Below are 18,890 nucleotides of genomic sequence, written 5' to 3' on the forward strand. Positions count from 1 at the left end.
TTCGACACCAGCCTGCCCAACATGGTGAAACCCCATCTCTACTAAAAATACAAAAATTAGCCAGGCATGGTGGCACGCGCCTGTAATCCCAGCTACCTAGGAGGCTGAGGCAGGAGAATCACTTGAACCCGGGAGGCAGAGGTTGCAGTGAGCCAAGATGACGCCACTGCACTATAGCTTGGGTGACAGAGTGAGACTCCATCTCAAAACAAACAAACAAACAAACACCCTCCATCTAATAATCCCGAGAACCTTGTGGTAGATACTCACTCTACAGATGAAGAAACCAAAATTCAGAGAGGTTATGTTACTTGCCTGTGACCACACAGCCTCTCATTGAAATCACTGCAGCTCAGCCTTTTCTCCCTGCCCCCAAATGCTATAAGCCACTCTTGGGAGAATAAAGAAACACCAGCGAGAGCTTTGCTTCCGTCTTTCCAACCCCTGTGGGATACCAGGATGAATAAAGAAACTGTAGTGTTGCCGATTTCCAGCAGGCAGTCTCTAAATCTTCCGTCCTTCTGTATCGCGTATTGCTTTTTATGATGGTTTAAATTATTTATGCTGTTTTGTTGAAAGCTAAGCACGTTGGAGAAATGGCCAGTAATGGAAAAGTAAAAAGGGGGCAGGCAGACTGTATTGTGGTCGAACGTGGTATCTCCAACCTTGCGAGACCTCGAAAGTCTGTTGGTGTAGAGAGAGAGAGAGAGAGAGTGTGTGTGTGTGTGTGTGTGTGTGAGAGAGAGAGAGAGAGAGAGAGAAAAGGAAAGAGAGAGAGAGCTGGTTGATGCTCAGGGCTTATCTGGTCACTAGGTCTCTGGTCTCTGTTCCCTGCACTGATGGGTTTGCAGCCTCTTTGGAGATTATTTCTCTACCTTTCAGTCTTTTTGTAAAATGAGCATGTTACCTGTCAATATCACAGGTGTAGAAAGAAATTGCTGATGTCATCGCTTTTTTAAAAACTTTGAGCTCTTGTAAGGAAATGCCTGCTATAAATAAGCAGGGTTAATTTTTAGTTACAAACACAGTCAATTGTTTATATAAATATTATAGATCTAAATGCTTGGGCTGGGCACAGTGGCTCACGCCTGTAATCCCAGCACTTTGGGAGGCTGAGGCAGGCAGATCACTTCAGGTCAGGAATTCAAGACCAGCCTGGCCAACATGGTGAAACCCCATCTTTACTAAAAATACAAAAATTAGCCAGGCGTGGTTGTACTGCCTGTCATCCCAGCTACTCGGGAGGCTGAGGCAGGAGAATCGCTTGAACCTGGGAGTCGGAGGTTGCAGTGAGCCAAGATCGCACCACTGCACTCCAGCCTGGGTGACAGAGGAAGACTCCATCTCAAAAAAAAATTAAATTAAAAATAAATAAATGCCTAGCTTCTTCCTTAGAGTTGCCTTGTCTTAGAGGGCTGTGTTTCACTGTCTTTGCTTACAATCTAGGGAGGCCTTCAGTGATGCAAAAACGTTTTTCTTTTTATTTGAAAGAGAGTCTCACTCTGTCGCCCAGGCTGGTCTCGAACTCCTGACCTCAAGTGATCCACCCACCTCAGCCTCCCAAAGTGCTGGGATTACAAGTGTGAGTCACAGCGCCCTGCCAGGGTTTTTTTGTTGTTGTTATTTTGAGACAGGGTCTCTGTTGCCCAGGCTGGAGTGCAGTGGCACAATCATGGCTCACTGCAGCCTCAACCTACTGGCCTCAAGCGATTCTCCCACCACGCCGGCTAATTTTTAAATTGTTTGTAGAGACAGGTTCTCCCTATGTTGCCCAGGCGGGTCTCAAACACCTGGGATCAAGCAAGCCCCCTGCCTTGCCTTCCCAAAGTGTTAGGATTACACATGTGAGCCACCATGCCTGACACATTTCTCTTTACCATGGGCTAGAGTGCAGCGGTGCCATCATGGCTCATTACAGCCTGGACCTCCCAGGATCAGACAATTCTCGCGCCTCAGCCTCCTGAGTAAATGGGACTACAGGACTACAGGTGCACTTCACTATGCCTGGCTAATTTTCTTTTCTTTCTTTCTTTTTTTTTTTTTTTTTGAGACGAAGTCTCACTCTGTCACCAGGATGGAATGCAGTGGCGCAATCTGGACTCACTGCAACCTCCACCTCCAGGTTCAAGTGATTTTCCTGCTTCAGCCTCCCAAGAAGCAGCTGGGACTACAGGTGCATACCACCACGCCCAGCTAATTTTTTTTGCATTTTTAGTAGAGACAGGGTTTCACTATGTTGGCCAGGATGGTCTCGATCTCTTGACCTCGTGATCTGACTGTCTTGGCCTCCCAAAGTGCTGGGATTACAGGCGTGAGCTACCATGCCCGGCCATGCCTGACTAATTTTTTAAATTATTTTCGTAGACACAGGGTCTCCCTATGTTGCCCAGGCTGGTCTCGAACTCCTGGACTCCAAGTGATTTGCCTAACTCAGCCTCCAAAGTGCTGGGATTACAGGCATGAACGACTGTGCCCAGCACCAGTTGATTTCTTTAGGATGATTGAGAAATCCTGTGGCAGCCAAAGGAGCCTCATCTGCAGGTCTCTCCATGCCTATTGCTTTGTGTCCGATAAATCTAGGGTGCAAACAATATTTCACCTAGAGCATTGCAGGCTGGCCTGATGTTATGACCGTTTATCTCAAATTTTTGTGGCCGGGTGCAGTGGCTCACGCCTGTAATCCCAGCACTTTGGAAGGCCGAGGCAGGTGAATCACCTGAAGTCAGGAGTTCGAGACCAGCCTGGCCAACATGGTGGAACCCCATCTCTGCTAAAAATACAAAAATTAGCTGGGTGAGGTGGCACATGCCTGTAATCCCAGCTACTTGGAGGCTGAGGCAGGAGAATCACTTGAACCTGAGAGGCGAAGGTTGCAGTGAGTGGAGATCATGCCATTGCACTCCAGCCTGGGAAACAAGAGCGAAACTCTATCTCAAAAAAAAAAAAAGGGTGCATATCCATTTAAATGGCAAAAAAAGGGGTGGAGGGAGATGAGATGAATCAAATTGGTGGATTAGGAGCCAGGCACTGATGAAAATAAGATACTTCTAGTAAAAACTGGACGATTTAATGTGTGTGCAGAGTTGGAACTGAGAGTCCATTCCTGCAGAGAAAAATATGGGCTCATTATAGACCAGGATTCAATTCAAACCCCAAATCCCAACTTTCCTATTAATTGACTTGCTTGGGAACTCAGACAGTCAGGAAGGTAGCAAGTGAGGGGAATAAAAATCAAGTTTCTTAGTTCTTACCAATTTTCCTTTTGACCAAATCAAGGACAGAGTTCCAGTTGAAGGGGAAAAAAGGAAACAAATCTTTAAAAAAAAGATAAGCAATTTCTGTTTCTCTTTGCCAGGAGTGGACTAAGAGCCTAAAATTGCTGCCAAGTAACCTCTTTAGCCATAAATATCTCATCTTTTTTCTTTTTACAAACTGTATCCTTTTGTTCAAGCGCACTCATTCTTGGCCATTCTTGGCGGGGATGCAGGTATGACCTAATTTTGATGTAAAGTGTGTGGGAGAATTAACTTTTAAAGTAACACATCTGAAGCTGGGATGTTTGCAGCAGAGAGGATGAATGTGGTTGAATCAGCCACTTAGAATGTTACCTCGCTATTGATAGAATTTCAGATTTTTTCCTCCTCCTTTCTTTATTTTTGTTAGTTAATACTTAGTCAATCTCTGTTTGTTTCACATATTCTTTTTTTTTTTTGAGACAGAGTTATGCTCTTGTCACCCAGGCTGGAGTGCACTGGCTCAATCTCGGCTCACTGCAACCTCTGCCTCAAGGGTTCAAGTGATTCTCCTGCCTCAGCCTCCTAAGTAGCTGGGATTACAGGCGTGCGCCACCACACCTAGCTAATTTTGTATTTTAGTAGAGACGGGGTTTCACCATGTTGGTCAGGCTGGTCTCGTACTCCTGACCTCGTGTGCTGGGATTACAGGCGTGAGCCACCGTGCCTGGCCCTCTTTTTTTTTTTTTTTTTTTTTTGAGATGGAGTTTCGCTCTTGTTGCCCAGGCTGCAGTGCAGTGGCGCTATCTCGACTCACCGCAACCTCCGCCTCCTGGGTTCAAGCAATTCTCCTGCCTCAGCCTTTCAAGTAGCTGGGATTACAGGCAAATGCCACCACGCCCAGCTAATTTTTTTAGTATTTTTAGTGGAGATGGGGTTTCACCATGTTGGCCAGACTGGTCTCAAATTTCTGACCTCAGGTGATCCACCCACCTCAGCCTCCCAAAGTGCTGGGATTACAGGTGTGAGCCACTGTGTCTGGCTGTTTCATGTATTCTAAGGGGAAATCCAGTGTTGTGCTTTAGAGCATGAGGTTTGGAGCCAGGGGTTGCTGGATTTGAACCCTGTCTCCACCACTGTTGACTGTGACCACAAATAAATTACTTACCTCTGTGTTCATTTCCTGTGGCTGCTGTAATAAATTACCAGAAATTGGGTGAATTGAAACAACAGGATTTTATTCGCTCATAGTTCTTGAGGCCAGATGTCCAAAATCAGTATCACAGGTTAAAATCGAGGTGCTGGCAGGGCTATGCCCCTGGAGGCTCTAGGGGAGAATCTGTTTCTCACCCCTCCAGTTTGTGGTGGTTGCCAGAGTTACTTGACTTGTGACCTCATCTCCCCGATGTCTCCCTCCATGTTCACACCGCCATCTGTTGTAAGATCTCCCTCTGCCTCCTTTTTTCTTTTTTCTGAGACAGAGTCTCTCTCTATTGCCCAGGCTGGAGTGCAGTGGCACGATTTCGGCTCACTGCAACCTCCGCCTCCAAGGTTCAAGTGATTCTCTTGCTTCAGCCTCCTGAGGAGCTGGGATTACAGGCATGCGCCATCACGCCTGACTAATTTTTGTATTTTTAGTAGAGACAGGGATTCACCATGTTGGCCAGGCTGGTCTCAGACTCCTGACCTCAAGTGATCCCCTCGCCTTGGCCTCCCAAAGTGCTGGGATTACAGGCGTGAGCCACCGCGCCTGGCCCTTTTTTTTTTTTAAGCCAAGGTATCACTTTATTGTCCAGGCTGGAGTGCAGTGCCATGATCATGATCATAGCTCACTGTCACCTTGAATTTCTGGGCTCAAGCAATCCTTCTGCCTCAGCCTCCCAAGTAGAAGGGACTACATGTGTGCGCCACCATGCCTAGTTAATTTTTGAAAATTTTTTAGAGACAGGGTCTTGCCATCTTGCCCAGGCTGGTCTTAAACTCCTGTGCTCAAGTGATACTCCCACCTCAGCCTCCAGAGTAGCTGGGATTACAGGGGTGAACCACCACACCTAGCCTCTTTTAGTAGAGATGAGGTCTCACTATGTTGCCCAGGCTAGTCTCAAACTCCTGGACTCAAGCAATCCTCCTGCCTTGGCCTCCCAAAATGTGGGTTTATAGACATGAGCCACCATTCCTGGCCTCCAGTGCCTGCCTCCCCCTTATAAGGCTACATGTGATGGCATTTAGGGCTTATTGTGATAATCCCAGTTAATCTCCCCATGTCAAAACTTTAATTTACTCACATCTACAAAGATCCTAATTTATATACAGTAATATACAAGTTCCAGGGATTAGGACCTGGTATCTTTGGTAGGGTTGTAGGGAAGGACATTTTTCAGTCTCCATAATCCCGTTTTTGTTGTTGTTGTTTGTAGAGATGGGGTTTCACCACGTTGCCCAGGCTGGTCTCAAACTCCTGGGCTCAAGCGATCTGCCTGCCTCAGCCTCCCAATGTGCTCAGATTACAGGCATGAGCCACTGTGCCCAGCCATGGCTCCAAAACTTTTTTTTTTTTTTTTTTTTTGAGACAAAGTCTCACTCTGTCGCGCAGGCTGGAGTGCAGTGGCGCAATCTCGGCTCACTGCAAGCTCCGCTTCCCGGGTTCACGCCATTCTCCTGCCTCTGCCTCCCAAGTAGCTGGGACTACAGGCGCCCCCCACCGCGCCCGGCTAATTTTTTGTATTTTTAGTAGAGACGGGGTTTCACCTTGTTAGCCAGGATGGTCTCGATCTCCTGACCTCATGATCCACCCACCTCGGCCTCCCAAAGTGCTGGGATTACAGGAGTGAGCCACCGTGCCCGGCCCCAAAACTTTTATTGAGTTCCCTTTTTTGCAGCAATAAGAGGCTCTATTTCATAGGGCTGCTGTAAAGATTATAAAAGATCATTAAGGCCAGGCATGGTGGCTCACGCCTATAATCCCAGCACTTTGGGAGGTGGAGGCGGGCAGATCATGAGGTCGGGAGATCAAGACCATCCTGGGTAACACGGTGAAACCCCATCTCTACTAAAAATACAAAAAATTAGCCGGGCATGGTGGCACATGCCTGTAGTCCCAGCTACTTGGGAGGCTGAGGCAAGAGAATCGCTTGAACCCGGGAGGTGGAGGTTGCAGTGAGCTGAGATCGCACCACGTCACTCCAGCCTGGGCAACAGAGTGAGACCCCATCTCAAAATAATAATAATAATAATAACAGTAATAATAATAATTAATGTGAAGTGCTTAATACAATTCTTGGTTTAGAGTCAATGCTCAATAAATACCAGCCATTGTCATTACTGTCATCACCATCAACTTAAATTCTTCCTCTTTATGGATAGGGAGAAAAAAATACAGTAGGTACAGAGTGCTAAGATATTAGAGCCTGAATATACTTTAGAATTCAATTCATCTACTCTAATTGCCTTATTTTATACATCAAAAACTGAAGTCCAGAGATATTGACCTGCCCATGACTCCACAGCTAGGAGGTAGCAGGTTCATTTCCTTATAACATTTTAGATACTGTGATTCTGTAATCTATAGATAGGAAAGCTCATCACAGGAGTGATAAGCGATGAGAGAGAGACAGACACACAGAGAGAGGGTTTATTGAGTTCCGGTCTCTTGACTTGAAGGAGACCATGGCTCTCTAGTTGTGAACATGAGCAGACATTGCGTTTTACAGTCACAATCTCCTTTGATTCTCACAACATGAGGGTGAGGTGGGTATTATCTTCATTCCCATTTTAGAGACCAGGAAACTGGATGATGGAAGCGATGCAGTTGCTCCACAGCACATAGCAAGTGACAGAATTAGAATTCAAACAGTCCAGCTGGAATGACCAGGTGCTCTCAAGCCCTCTCTAATGCCCTCTCTCTAGTAGATGCTTTCTGTCAGCATGAATTATATATTCATCTCAAGTGACTGTGCTCTAAGCAAGAGAAATATAAAGTTCAGACCAGCCTGGCCAACATAGCGAAACTTACCTGTCTCTACTAAAAATACAAAAATTAGCCGGATGTGGTGGCACGCACCTGTAATCCCAGCTACCCGCAAGGCTGAGGCAGGGGAATCACTGGAACCCGGGGGGCAGAGGCTGCAGTGAGCCGAGATTGTGCCACTGCATTCCAACCTGGGCGACAGAGCAAGACTCCCTCTCAAAAAAAATATATAAAGTTGAGTTTCTATGAGGCACTGGGAGCTGGAGCCCGAATAGGGTTAGTGATGTCGTTGGGATCATCTCCTTGGACTGGAGATTTGGAGAACAGAGTCGTCGATGGGGTCACCTGAGATACCATGACTCTGCTGTGTATTTTCAGCTGTGGGCATCGTGCTCCAAGCTCTCTGTTTTGCCTAGAATGTCCCTCTTCTTGTGTTCTGGGATCCTTCCTGGCAACTGAACTCGCTGTGATGCTGTAGGAAGCCCATTTCAGGCTTTGTGTCCTGCCCAAGTGTTCCAGGGCCATCTGTCACTGGCACAACAATTTCAGTAAACAACAATTTGGTTTCCTTAATCATGGCTTTAAGACCAAAGTTAATTGATACAAGGTTGTTCTTAATTAGTAAAAATGCCTGTTACAGAAAAATGATGCACGAACTGCAATTCACAAGAAGGAAATCTATGCAGAGTATTCTTATCTGGCCTAAATGATAGCTCCCCAGTGAGGACCAGGGAAAACAGCAAGACATGCTGATTACAGGGCTGACCATGTGTGCGAAGAGCCCACAGCTGATGAAAACAAAATCTTGAATTTATCATTGGAAATTAAGAGAACACACAAAATTAAAATTTCCTGGCACTTTGGGACGCCAAGGGGGGCAGATCACGAGGTCAGGAGATAGAGACCACCCTGGCCAACATGGTGAAACCCTGTCTCTACTAAAAATACAAAAATTAGCTGGGCATTGTGGCACATGCCTGTAATCCCAGCTACTTGGGAGGCTGAGGCAGGATAATTGCTTGAACCAGGGAATCAGAGGTTGCAGTGAGCCGAGATCGCACCACTGCACTCCAGCCTGGTGACAGAGTGAGACTCTGTCTCAAAAAAAAATAATAATTTCACTCTTTCAGTCTTTAAAAAAATAAGACTCTGGTTCTTGGTTTGTTTTTTCTGTCCGGATTGTTCGGTATTTACTATGTGGTCCTTAGGGCCACGGTGATCTCTGTGATTTTTTTTTTTTTTTTTTTTTTTTTTGAGACGGAGTCTTGCTCTGTCACCCAGGCTGGAGTGCAGTGGTGATCTCGGCTCACCGCAACCTCCGCCTCCTGGGTTCACACCATTCTCCTGCCTCAGCCTCCCGAGTAGCTGGGACTACAGGCGCCCACCACCACGCCCGGCTATTTTTTTGTATTTTTAGTAGAGACAGGGTTTCACCGTGTTAGGCAGGATGGTCTCGATCTCCTGACCTCGTGATCCACCCGCCTCGGCCTCCCAAAGTGCTGGGATTACAGGCATGAGCCACCGTGCCCGGCCAATCTCTGTGATTGACTAACCTGCAGTGTGATGAATATAGTACTTGGTAAACTGACATTCATTTAAATATAATTGCTGGGTGCGGTGGCTCAAGCCTGTAATCCCAGCACTTTGGGAGGCTGAGGCGGGCAGATCATGAGGTCAGGAGTTGAAGACCAGACTGACCAACATGGTGAAAACCCGTCTCTGATAAAAATACAAAAATTAGCTGGGTGTGGTGTCATGTGCCTGTAATCCCAGCTACTTGGGAGGCTGAGGCAGGAGAATCGCTTGAACCTGGCAGGCGGAGGTTGCAGTGAGCTGAGATGGCATCACTGCATTCCAGCCTGGGTGACAGAGTGACACTCTATCTCAAAAAAAAAAAAAAAAAAAAAAGCCAAACGTCCTTTGGACTCACATGTCATCAAATAGCTATGTTCTCTGAAATTTTACATATGCTTTAAAAATTTTAATCTTTGTTGGAATAAGCCTTCTTCCAGCATTGCCCCCACCCCCATTTCCATTTTGCCCCTATCGACCTGGTTAGCTAAGATTTCCAGCAATGCAGCCTGTTAGAATTAGTGGTGAAATATCAATAAAGAGACATTCAACGCAGGTTGAGGAACTTTCCGGTGAAGAAGGTGCATGAGTTTTGTATTCTCCTGGGCTAATTTTCTTTTCCTTCCTTCTGGATTCTAGGCAGTTGAAGCCACCATATAAAAATTGGCCCTAGGCCAGGAGTGGTATCTCACACCTGTAATCCCAGCACTTTGGGAGGCTGAGGCAGGCGGATCACCTGAGGTCAGGAGTTTGTGACCGGCCTGACCAATATGCTGAAACCCCGTCTCTACTAAAAATACAAAAATTAGCCGGGTGTGGTGGCACATGCCTGTAGTCCCAGCTACTCGGGAGGCTGAGACAGGAGAATTGCCTGAACTCGGGAGGCGGACGTTGCAGTGAGCCGAGATCACAGCACTGCACTCCAGCCTGGGTGACAGAACGAGACTCCGTAAAAAAAAAAAAAAAAAAAAAATCAGCCCTAGGCCAGGCATGGTGGCTTACACCTGTAATCCCAGCACTTTTGGAGGCCAAAGCGGGCATATCACTTGAGATTGAGACCAGCCTGACCAACATGGTGAAACCCCATCTCTACTAAACCCCATCTCTGACTAATACAAAAATTAGTCAGGTGTGGTGGCAGGTGCCTGTAGTCCCAGCTACTAGGGAGGCTGGGAGGCTGAGGCACGAGAATCGCTTGAACCTGGGAGGTGGAAGTTGCAGTGAGCCGAGATTGCGCCACTGCACTCCAGCTTGGGCGACAGAGCCAGACACAGTCTCAAAGAAAAAAAAAAAATTCGGTCCTCAGCAAACTAGAGACTTGCTGTGCTTATTTCCTGACTAGGTAGCAGACCAATTCTAAAGCATCTTCCAGTTTTGATTTTCTGATTCCAAATAACCCTGGCATAAGTGGTGCCACTGTACATTAATATTAATGAGTTAAACCAGATTGCATCCTGTTTGTTAAAGTACTCATTGGCAAAAAACAGAAAATTTATTGATTTAAGCTCCTTATTGTCATTATTTAATTCAGTGTTTAATAGATACATACTTACATAAAATAGACATTAATTAATATTTATAAAGATTTTGCATAGGAAAGCATATATTTTCTAGATTTAATGGGGTAGAGAGCTGCCTAGTCTCTTAAGTCCAACAATGTAAGCAGTTCCTATTTTTACTCATGCAACATGATCTAGGACTCAAGTCCATGTGTTACCTGACCTTGGTTAAAATAACTGGAAAGTAATTCTCTTTATGGGCATGGATGGTCCTGTAGAGGATTTTGCCAGAAATGAAATTGGGCTCTTCCCACATTTTTGTCAGTGCAAGAGTCGGCATGTGGCAGTTTTGAGTGAATATGGACTCAGTCAGGAAGGGATTTCCATAACACATTTACCAAATGTGTGGCCGAGACGCGGTGGCCTTTTACAGTGCAGGCTGTGAGACTAGGGCATCTGAAAACCAGGTCAGAGAGAGAGGATTATGGCTTGCTGTCTCCCACCCACTCGGCTCCTCACACATGGCTCAGCTGCTGGGGATCGGTCCCATGCCCTCTGATGTAGCTGCCGACCCAGTCTGCAGAGGATTACTGGTGGCATCACAGCTGGGATGCCTCTGGACAAATATCTTTTTTTTTTTTTTTTGAGATGGAGTTTCTCTATTGTTGCCCAGGCTGGAGTACAATGGCACGATCTCAGCTCACTGCAACCTCTGCCTCCTGAGTTCAAGAGATTCTCTTGCCTCAGCCTCCTGAGAAGCTAGGAGTATAGAACTGTGCCACCACGCCCGGCTAATTTTGTATTTTTAGTAAAGATGGGGTTTCACCATGTTGGTCAGGCTGGTCTCAAACTCTTGACCTCAGGTGAACCACCTGCCTCAGCCTCCCAAAGTGCTGGGGTTACAGGTGTGAGCCACTGAGCCTGACCTATCATTTTTTAAGTTATGAAGTTATTTACTTTTTTACAGGTGGGGTCTTGCTCTGTTGCCTGGGCTGGAGTGCAGTGGCTATTTACAGGTACAATAAAAGTGCACTGTAGCCTAGAGCTCCTGGGCTCAAGAGATCCACCCACCTCAGCCTCCCAGGTAGCTGGGACTACAGGTGCATCCCACCTTGCCCAGAATAAATTACATATGTATTTTTTAAACAGGTAGTAAAGTATAAAAACTAACATGATGGCCTGGTCAGTGGCTCACACCTGTAATCCCAGCACTTTGGGAGGCCAAGGCGGGCAGATTGCAAGGTCAGGAGTTCGAGACCAGTCTGGCCAACATAGTGAAACCCCGTCTCTACTCAAAATACACAAAAAATTAGCTCGACGTGGTAGTGTGAGCCTGTAATCCTAGCTACTCGGGAGGCTGAGGCAGGAGAATCACGTGAACCCGGGACAGGGAGCTTGCAGTGAGCTGAGCTCGTGCCACTGCACTCCAGCCTGGGCAACACAGTGAGACTCTGTCTCAAAAAAAAAAAAAAAACGAACATGATACCCACCCACATACACTGTATTAAACACCGTATTAAATAATGACAATAGGCTGGGCGTAGTGGCTCATGCATGTAATTCCAGCACTTTGGGAGGCCGAGGCCGAGGTGGGTGGATCCCTTGAGGTTAGGAGTTCAAGACCAGCCTGGCCAACATGGCAAAACCCCATCTCTACTACAATTTTTTTTTTTTTGAGACAGAGTTTTGCTCTTGTTGCCTAGGCTGGATTGCAATGGCGCGATCTCAGCTCACTGCAGCATCTGCCTCCCGGGTTCAATCGATTCTCCTGCCTCAGCTTCCCGAGCAGCTGGGATTACAGGCATGTGCCACCATGCCCGACTAAGTTTGTATTTTTAGTAGAGACGAAGTTTCTCCATGTTAGTCAGTCTGGTCTTGAACTCCTGACCTCATGCGATCTGCTTGCCTCAGCCTCCCAAAGTGCTGGGATTACGAGCGCGAGCCACTGTGCCTGGCCATCTCTACTAAAATTACAAAAATTAGCCAGGTGTGGTGGCACATGCCTGTAATCCCAGCTACATTAGGAGGCTGAGGCACGAAAATTGCTTGAACTCAGGAGGCAGAGGTTGCAATGAGCTGAGATCGCATTACTGCACTCAAGCCTGAGCATCAGAGTGAGACTCTTTCCCAACAAAACAAAACAAAAAAGACAATAATAATAATGACAGGGCCAGGCGTGGTGGTTCACGCCTGTAATCCCAGCACTTTGGGAGGCCGAAGCGGGCAGATCACCTCAGGTCAGGAGTTCGAGACCAGCCTGGCCAACACAGTGAAACCCCGTGTCTACTAAAAACACAAAAATTAGCTGGGCATGGCGGTGGGCACCTGTAATCCCAGATACTTGGGAGGCTGAGACAGGAGAATCGCTCCGCTTGAACCTGGGGGGCAGAGGTTGCAGTGAGCCGAGATCGAGTCACTGCACTCCAGCCTGGGTGAGAAGGGGAGACTCTGTCTCTAAATCAATTAATCGGTCAATCAATCAATCAATAATAGACATTTCCAGAGAAGAAAATGGAAGGCGGAAAATCATCAACGGCAGAAATAGCACCTCCGAACTCCAGCCTGGGCGACAGAACGAGACTCCATCTCAAAAAACAAACAAAAAATAATAATAACAATAAGGAGTTCAAGACAAATCAATAAATTCTCTGGTTTTTCCTCCCAACTCAACATTTCCATCTTCCTGTTATTTTGTTTTTCAAGAAATAAAATATTACACATAAAGTTGCAGATCCTCATGTCATCCTCCCTTTTTTTGTTTGTTTGTTTTGTTTTTCTCTCTTTCTTTCCTGGGTTAATCTCATCCTGAATTTGATGATTGTCATTGCCATCCATGTTTTCACACTTGACTATACATAAATTTAGTCCTAAACAGTATAGTGCTCATATTCATACTTCAGACTTTATGTATAAATGCCACTGTCCCGCACCTATTATCCTGCACCTTTTTTTTTTTTTTTTTGAGACAGAGTCTCGCTCTGTCACCCAGGCTGGACTGCAGTGGTGAGATCTCGGCTCACTGCAAGCTCCACCTCCTGGGTTCACGCCATTCTCCTGCCTCAGCCTCCCGAGTAGCTGGGATTACAGGCATGTACCACCACATCTGGCTAATTTTTTGTATTTTTAGTAGAGACTGTGTTTCACCATGTTGGCTAGGCTGGTCTCGAACTCCTTACCTCAAGTGATTCACCCACCTGGGCCTCCCAAAGTGCTGGGATTACAGGTGCATTTATTCTTAAATATTGAATAGCTTTTATTGCTTTTTTTCTTTCTTTCTTTTTTTTTTTGAGACAGGATCTCACTCTGTCATTGAGGCTCGAGTGCTGTGGTGCAATCATAGCTCACTGTAGCCTTGACCTTCCAGGCTCAATTGATCTTCCCACTCAGCCTCCCAAGCAGCTGGGACTACAGGTACATACCACCATGTCTGGCTACTTTTTTTTTTTTTTTTGTATTTTTTGTAGAGATAGGGTCTCGTTATGTTGCCTAGGCTTGTCTCAAACTCCTAGGCTCAAGCGATCAGCCTACTCTGCCTCCCAAAGTACTGGGATTACAGGCGTGGGCCACAGCACCTGGCCGGGAAGACTTGATTTTTTAAAAAGATCCCATTAAAAATAGCAATAAAGGCCAGGCTCAGTGGCTCACACCTGTAGTCCCAGCACTTTGGGAGGCTGAGGTTGATGGATCACTGGAGTCCAGGAGCTGGATACCAGCCGTCTCTACAAAAAATAGAAAAATTAGCTGGGCGTGGTGGTGTGTGCCTATAGTGCCACCTACTCAGGAGGCTGAGGTGGGAGGATGGATTAAACCAGGGGGCAAGGGTTGAGGCTGTAGTAAGCTGTGATCACACCACTGCACTCCAGCCTGGGTGACAGAGTGAGACCCTGTCTAAAATAATAGTAATAATAAAGTCTTCCTATCAAAAAGGAACACTTCGGATTTTTGTGTATTGATTTTGTATCCAGAAACCTGATTGTGATTGTGATTGTGATGGGAGAGTGGCAGTGCACCACGTGACTAGGACTTCTGATGTTCTCGTATCCTTGCATTCCAGAGACAGCCCTACCAGATCATGGCTACATTCAATTTTCTAGTAATTTATTTATCATTTTAAAGAGATGCTTTTATACAGAATTTGTAATCTGAGAAACTGGCTGGGCAGTGTGACTTCATCTGTCAGAGAGGCAAAAGGCTTATGCAGAGTGGGCTGTTTGGCCTTGGATCCTGGAGCAGCCTTCTTTGCCTTTATTGACCCTTCTGTGCCTTCTGTGTGCCCTTTGGCTAGCTTCTTCTCCTGCCAATCACAATCACACCCTCTTCACTACGTTTTTGTTTTAAATTTTATTTTATTTTTTGTTGAGACAGAGTCTCACTCTATCTCCCAGGCTGGAGTTCAGTGGTAGGATCTCAGCTCACTGCAACTGCCGCCTCGTCCACCTCCCGGGTTCAAGTGATTCTCCTGCCTCAGGTTCCCAAGTAGCTGGTATTACAGGCGTGCCCACCACGCCTGGCTAATTTTTGTATTTTTTAGTAGAGATGGGGTTTTGCCATGTTGGTCAGGCTGGTCTCGAACTCCTGACCTCAAGTGATCCACCCGCCTCAGCCTCCCAAAGTGTTGGGATTACTGTCGTGAGCCACCGCGCCTGGTTCTTCACTACGTTTTAGATTCTTTTTAGATTGTGCTCCATTGAGAGCTCAAGCAATACAGCCACCCAGGTTTTCGTAACTCTCCATGGCGCTCACCACAGTATTTACGCAAGGAGGTCCACGCTATGATGAAGTGGTGTCTACTGTTGAATTGATGAGTTCCTCTTTATTAACCTACTATAGTTTCATTTTACTCTTAGCCGTCAGGAAGCTAAGAGCTGAGTTCTGTGCTCAGTGGCAACATATTTCCTTGACTATGGATTTTTAAAATATTGTTTTTCTGGCCGGGCGCGGTGGCTCATTCCTGTAATCCCAGCACTTTGAGAGGCTGAGACAGGTGGATCACCTGAGGTCAGGAGTTCAAGACCAACCTGACCAACATAGTGAAACACCGTCTCTACTAAAAATACAAAAATTAGCCGGGCGTGGTGGCAGGCACCTGTAATCCCAGCTACTCGGGAGGCTGAGGCAGGAGAATCGCTTGAACCTGGGAGGCGGAGGTTGCAGAGATTTGACATCGTGCCACTGAGCTCAGCCTGGGCGAGAGTAAAACTCTGTCTCAAAACAAAACAAAAAAATTTTTCTTTCTAGGCATGCCTCTCATTCAAACAGCTTTTAAAAAGTCTCTTGCTTGTTTCATTATTATGAATTTTACGCCTATTTTAAAGCTATACGGTTTCACTGCTGTATGCTTTAGTGTAAGCTATGTCAAATCCTTTTGCAGGTAGGTGGAGCTTAAATTCTATAAAATGAGACGTGATCAATAAAAGCGGATGAAGAGTCTGAGGACTTGAGTGGTGGTGGAGATTTTCCAGAATTATTAGTGTAGAAAATTAATTTCGATGTTTTAGTGCATATGCTTGTACATAATACCTTTTACTCACAATAATACTGTATTTAATTCAGGGGAAGACATGTGATTTTACTTTCAATGTCTGCTAGTAAATAAAAATAATTCACAACCTTATAAAGTAATAGTGCTCGGCCTGGGCCTGATAATTGAATATATTATCACTGAAGATTATATTTTGTTAAGTACTGAATTGAACAGTTTCTGAACAGTGAGATTTTTCTTTCCAGCTGAATCTAAATCTGATTTTAAAGAAATCACTGCTCGTGCTTTTGTGTCCTCCGGGTTTCTAACTTCCACTCTCCCTCCTTCAAGGGCATCTCCCAGAAGGGGGCTGGGCTCGTTAACTCAGGGACGGTGCAAAGCGTTTGTTCCTCTCCTCACAGCCCTTCCGCGGTCTCCCAAGGAGACAAGTGGAATGCCCACCAAGTCATGCTTTTCCATTACTCATTCCGCCTTCTCTCCCGAGGTGGCGCGTGGGAGGTGTTTTGCTCGGGTTCTGTAAGAATAGGCCAGGCAGCTTCCCGCGGGATGCGCTCATCCCCTCTCGGGGTTCCGCTCCCACCGCGCCGCGTTCGGCCGGTTCCGCCTGCGAGATGTTTTCCGACGGACAATGATTCCACTCTCGGCGCCTCCCATGTTGATCCCAGCTCCTCTGCGGGCGTCAGGACCCCTGGGCCCCGCCCCGCTCCACTCAGTCAATCTTTTGTCCCCGTATAAGGCGGATTATCGGGGTGGCTGGGGGCGGCTGATTCCGACGAATGCCCTTGGGGGTCACCCGGGAGGGAACTCCGGGCTCCGGCTTTGGCCAGCCCGCACCCCTGGTTGAGCCGGCCCGAGGGCCACCAGGGGGCGCTCGATGTTCCTGCAGCCCCCCGCAGCAGCCCCACTCCCCGGCTCACCCTACGATTGGCTGGCCGCCCCGAGCTCTGTGCTGTGATTGGTCACAGCCCGTGTCCGTCGCGGGCGCCGGGGCGGATACGAGGTGACGCGCAGAGGCCCAGCTCGGGGCGGTGTCCCGCGCCGGCGACTGCGGGCGGAGTTTCGCGAGGGCCGAAGCGGGGCAGTGTGACGGCAGCGGTCCTGGGAGGCGCCCGCGCGCGTCGGAGCAGCTCCCCGTCCTCCGCAGCCGTCACCGCCGGCCGTCGCCGCGCCCTGGCCTCCCGCACTCGCGCACTCCTGTCCGCCGCCCACCGCCCACCTCCCACCTCGATGCGGTGCCGGGCTGCTGCGTGATGGGGCTGCGGAGCGGCGCCCTGCGGCTCGCGGCGGCCGCTGCTCGCGCTGAGGTGCGTCGGTGCCCGGCCCCCCGCGCCCCCGCGCGCCGCGGCTCCTGTTGACCCGGTCCGCCCGTCGGTCTGCAGCGCGGCTGAGGTAAGGCGGCGGGGCTGGCCGCGGTTGGCGCCGCGGTCGCGGGGTTGGGGAGGGGGCCGCTTCCGCGGGGAGGAGCGGCCGGGCCGGGGTCCGGGCGGGGTCTGAGGGGAGGTAGCGCGGGACGGGCGCCGGGTGCGGGAGCCTCGCCCTCGGGGGAGGGGACCCCTCCCTAGGCCAGCAGCGAGTCCCGGGCCGGCGTCCAGCGGTCGGCTGGGGCCCCCGCAGTGCCCTGCACCGGCCCTCCGTTTCCCCCGCGCTGCCAGGCCCCGGCTGTGCCCAGCGCTCTCCAGACCCGCCGCTGCCTGGCCGTTCCCTGGGCTCCGCGCACGTTGCAGCCCGGGGGGCGGCTGTGCTTCGTTTGAAGCCATCGTTTCTCATTTTCCCTCTCCCCTTTCCTCCTTTGTGGTGGGCATCGGGCTTCGGCTGGGAATGTGGTTATGCCCTTTGCCAGATGGCGATAGGAAAGGTCATCGCTTGGCGCTGGGGGAGCCGAGGGCTCGAGGCCTGGAAAGAGGGGTGCGATAGGAAGGGAGGGGGCTTGTTGGATGCTGGCCAGGTGTGAGGAAGGCTGGTGTGGTCTCGGCATTCAGCCGACTGGGATTACTCGGGCAGCCATATTGGGAGGATGATCTGACAAATCCTTTAGGAGCCAAGTCCAGTTGTTGGAAGGCACCGAGTGACAGCCCTGGCAGCTTTCAGGGTGACTGGCCAGACCAGAAGCCAAGTTGTGGGGGTTGGGAGGCTGCTTGAGCAAGCTAGTCATTGTTCATGCAACACAAAACATTCCCGCCCCTAACGCCAGAATGGAGCTTCCAGATCCCTTTTTTTTTTTTTCCTTGATTGCTAAATGAGCTTCCAAGGTAAACTGCCTTCAAGATTCCATTCTTGTTGGGGTGAAATTCCGTGTTTCTCTATTCATCTTCTGCGTCCAGTGCGGGGGCTGTGAAAGGCCTGCTGATGCTTTACATGTGCATAGGCCGATCTGAGAATTGCTAAGGCCACTGTATCAGTATGGAGGCCTCGAGTAGCCGTAGAGCATTGGATGGATAGATTTTCAGAGTCGCTCGACTTGCAGAGAAGAAGTAAACCAGAGTATTCTGATAGTGGGCGAGGCTAGTGGCGGCATTTCTGAGGACGCAGGCTGTCATCTTTGTGGAATCTCGAGGTAGCTGAAATTAGATTGTCAACAGATCCCTTGCTCATATCTCTTACTGCTCTGAGCAGCTGTTCTGCCACCATTGAACATTCCGCTTTGTGTCATGATGTGCCTGTCTGAGCCTGATGAAAGTGTGCTGATGAGATTTGAATAACTCTTAAGAGGTGATATCATGGTGGATATTTTATTTAAAGGCTGGCATTTTGTCTCCTTAGTTTAGTCATAACAAAATCTAGTTCTTGTGTTCCTCTAAGAAGTGAGGTGGTGCTTTCTGATTAAGTTGATATGGTTGCTGGATTATAGAGCAAGTGTTGTTAATGTATTGTTTGAAGGTGGAATATGAGAATTACACATAGGTTGGTATTGTAAAGCAGGTCTGGAGATGATCAATAACTGGGTTCAGCATGAGTCTGTAGATCTGTTCTTTTCTATATCCTAGATGTGGACAGGACCTGGAGAGATGGCATGCCTGCTTTCTTCTTTGTGGCCTTTGCTTTCATTCAAGTTCAATTTGTTCATAAATACATTCTCATAACTTCTCAGGTTGAACTATGTAAAAAATTTTGGGATGGGTGTGGTGGCTCATGCCTTG

The 18,890-nt window shown here is 48.1% G+C and overlaps 1 protein-coding gene across 4 annotated transcripts in view, besides 4 other annotated features; it reads left to right on the forward strand.

Moving 5' to 3' along the window:
* Positions 16,055–16,349: a silencer, noted in NCBI's record as "tiled region #4147; K562 Repressive DNase matched - State 4:PromP". NCBI's record gives its function as "represses a minimal TATA promoter and a strong SV40 promoter by Sharpr-MPRA in K562 cells {active_cell/tissue: K562}" and the evidence as "EXISTENCE:reporter gene assay evidence [ECO:0000049][PMID:27701403]".
* Positions 16,436–16,515: a silencer, noted in NCBI's record as "silent region_242". NCBI's record gives its function as "represses an Ori minimal core promoter by ATAC-STARR-seq in GM12878 lymphoblastoid cells {active_cell/tissue: GM12878}" and the evidence as "EXISTENCE:reporter gene assay evidence [ECO:0000049][PMID:35858748]".
* Positions 16,546–17,065: a silencer, noted in NCBI's record as "silent region_243". NCBI's record gives its function as "represses an Ori minimal core promoter by ATAC-STARR-seq in GM12878 lymphoblastoid cells {active_cell/tissue: GM12878}" and the evidence as "EXISTENCE:reporter gene assay evidence [ECO:0000049][PMID:35858748]".
* Positions 16,834–18,890, forward strand: part of KIF1B (kinesin family member 1B) — a 171,034-nt gene continuing 168,977 nt past the window's right edge. For 2 of the 4 annotated variants that reach the window (NM_001365951.3, NM_183416.4), the window contains exon 1: positions 16,834–17,142. The gene's annotated coding sequence lies outside the window, so the exon portion shown is untranslated. Of the gene's footprint in view, positions 17,143–17,879; positions 18,003–18,890 lie in introns of those variants that run through there. The other 2 variants (NM_015074.3, NM_001365952.1) reach the window with 2 other exon arrangements.
* Positions 17,967–18,622: an enhancer, noted in NCBI's record as "H3K27ac hESC enhancer chr1:10271761-10272416 (GRCh37/hg19 assembly coordinates)". NCBI's record gives its function as "activates a minimal SCP1, AML or CMV promoter by ChIP-STARR-seq in primed H9 embryonic stem cells {active_cell/tissue: H9 hESC(primed)}" and the evidence as "EXISTENCE:reporter gene assay evidence [ECO:0000049][PMID:30033119]".

The sequence above is a fragment of the Homo sapiens genome, chromosome 1, assembly GCF_000001405.40.
Source record: "Homo sapiens chromosome 1, GRCh38.p14 Primary Assembly".
Lineage (NCBI taxonomy): Eukaryota > Metazoa > Chordata > Mammalia > Primates > Hominidae > Homo > Homo sapiens.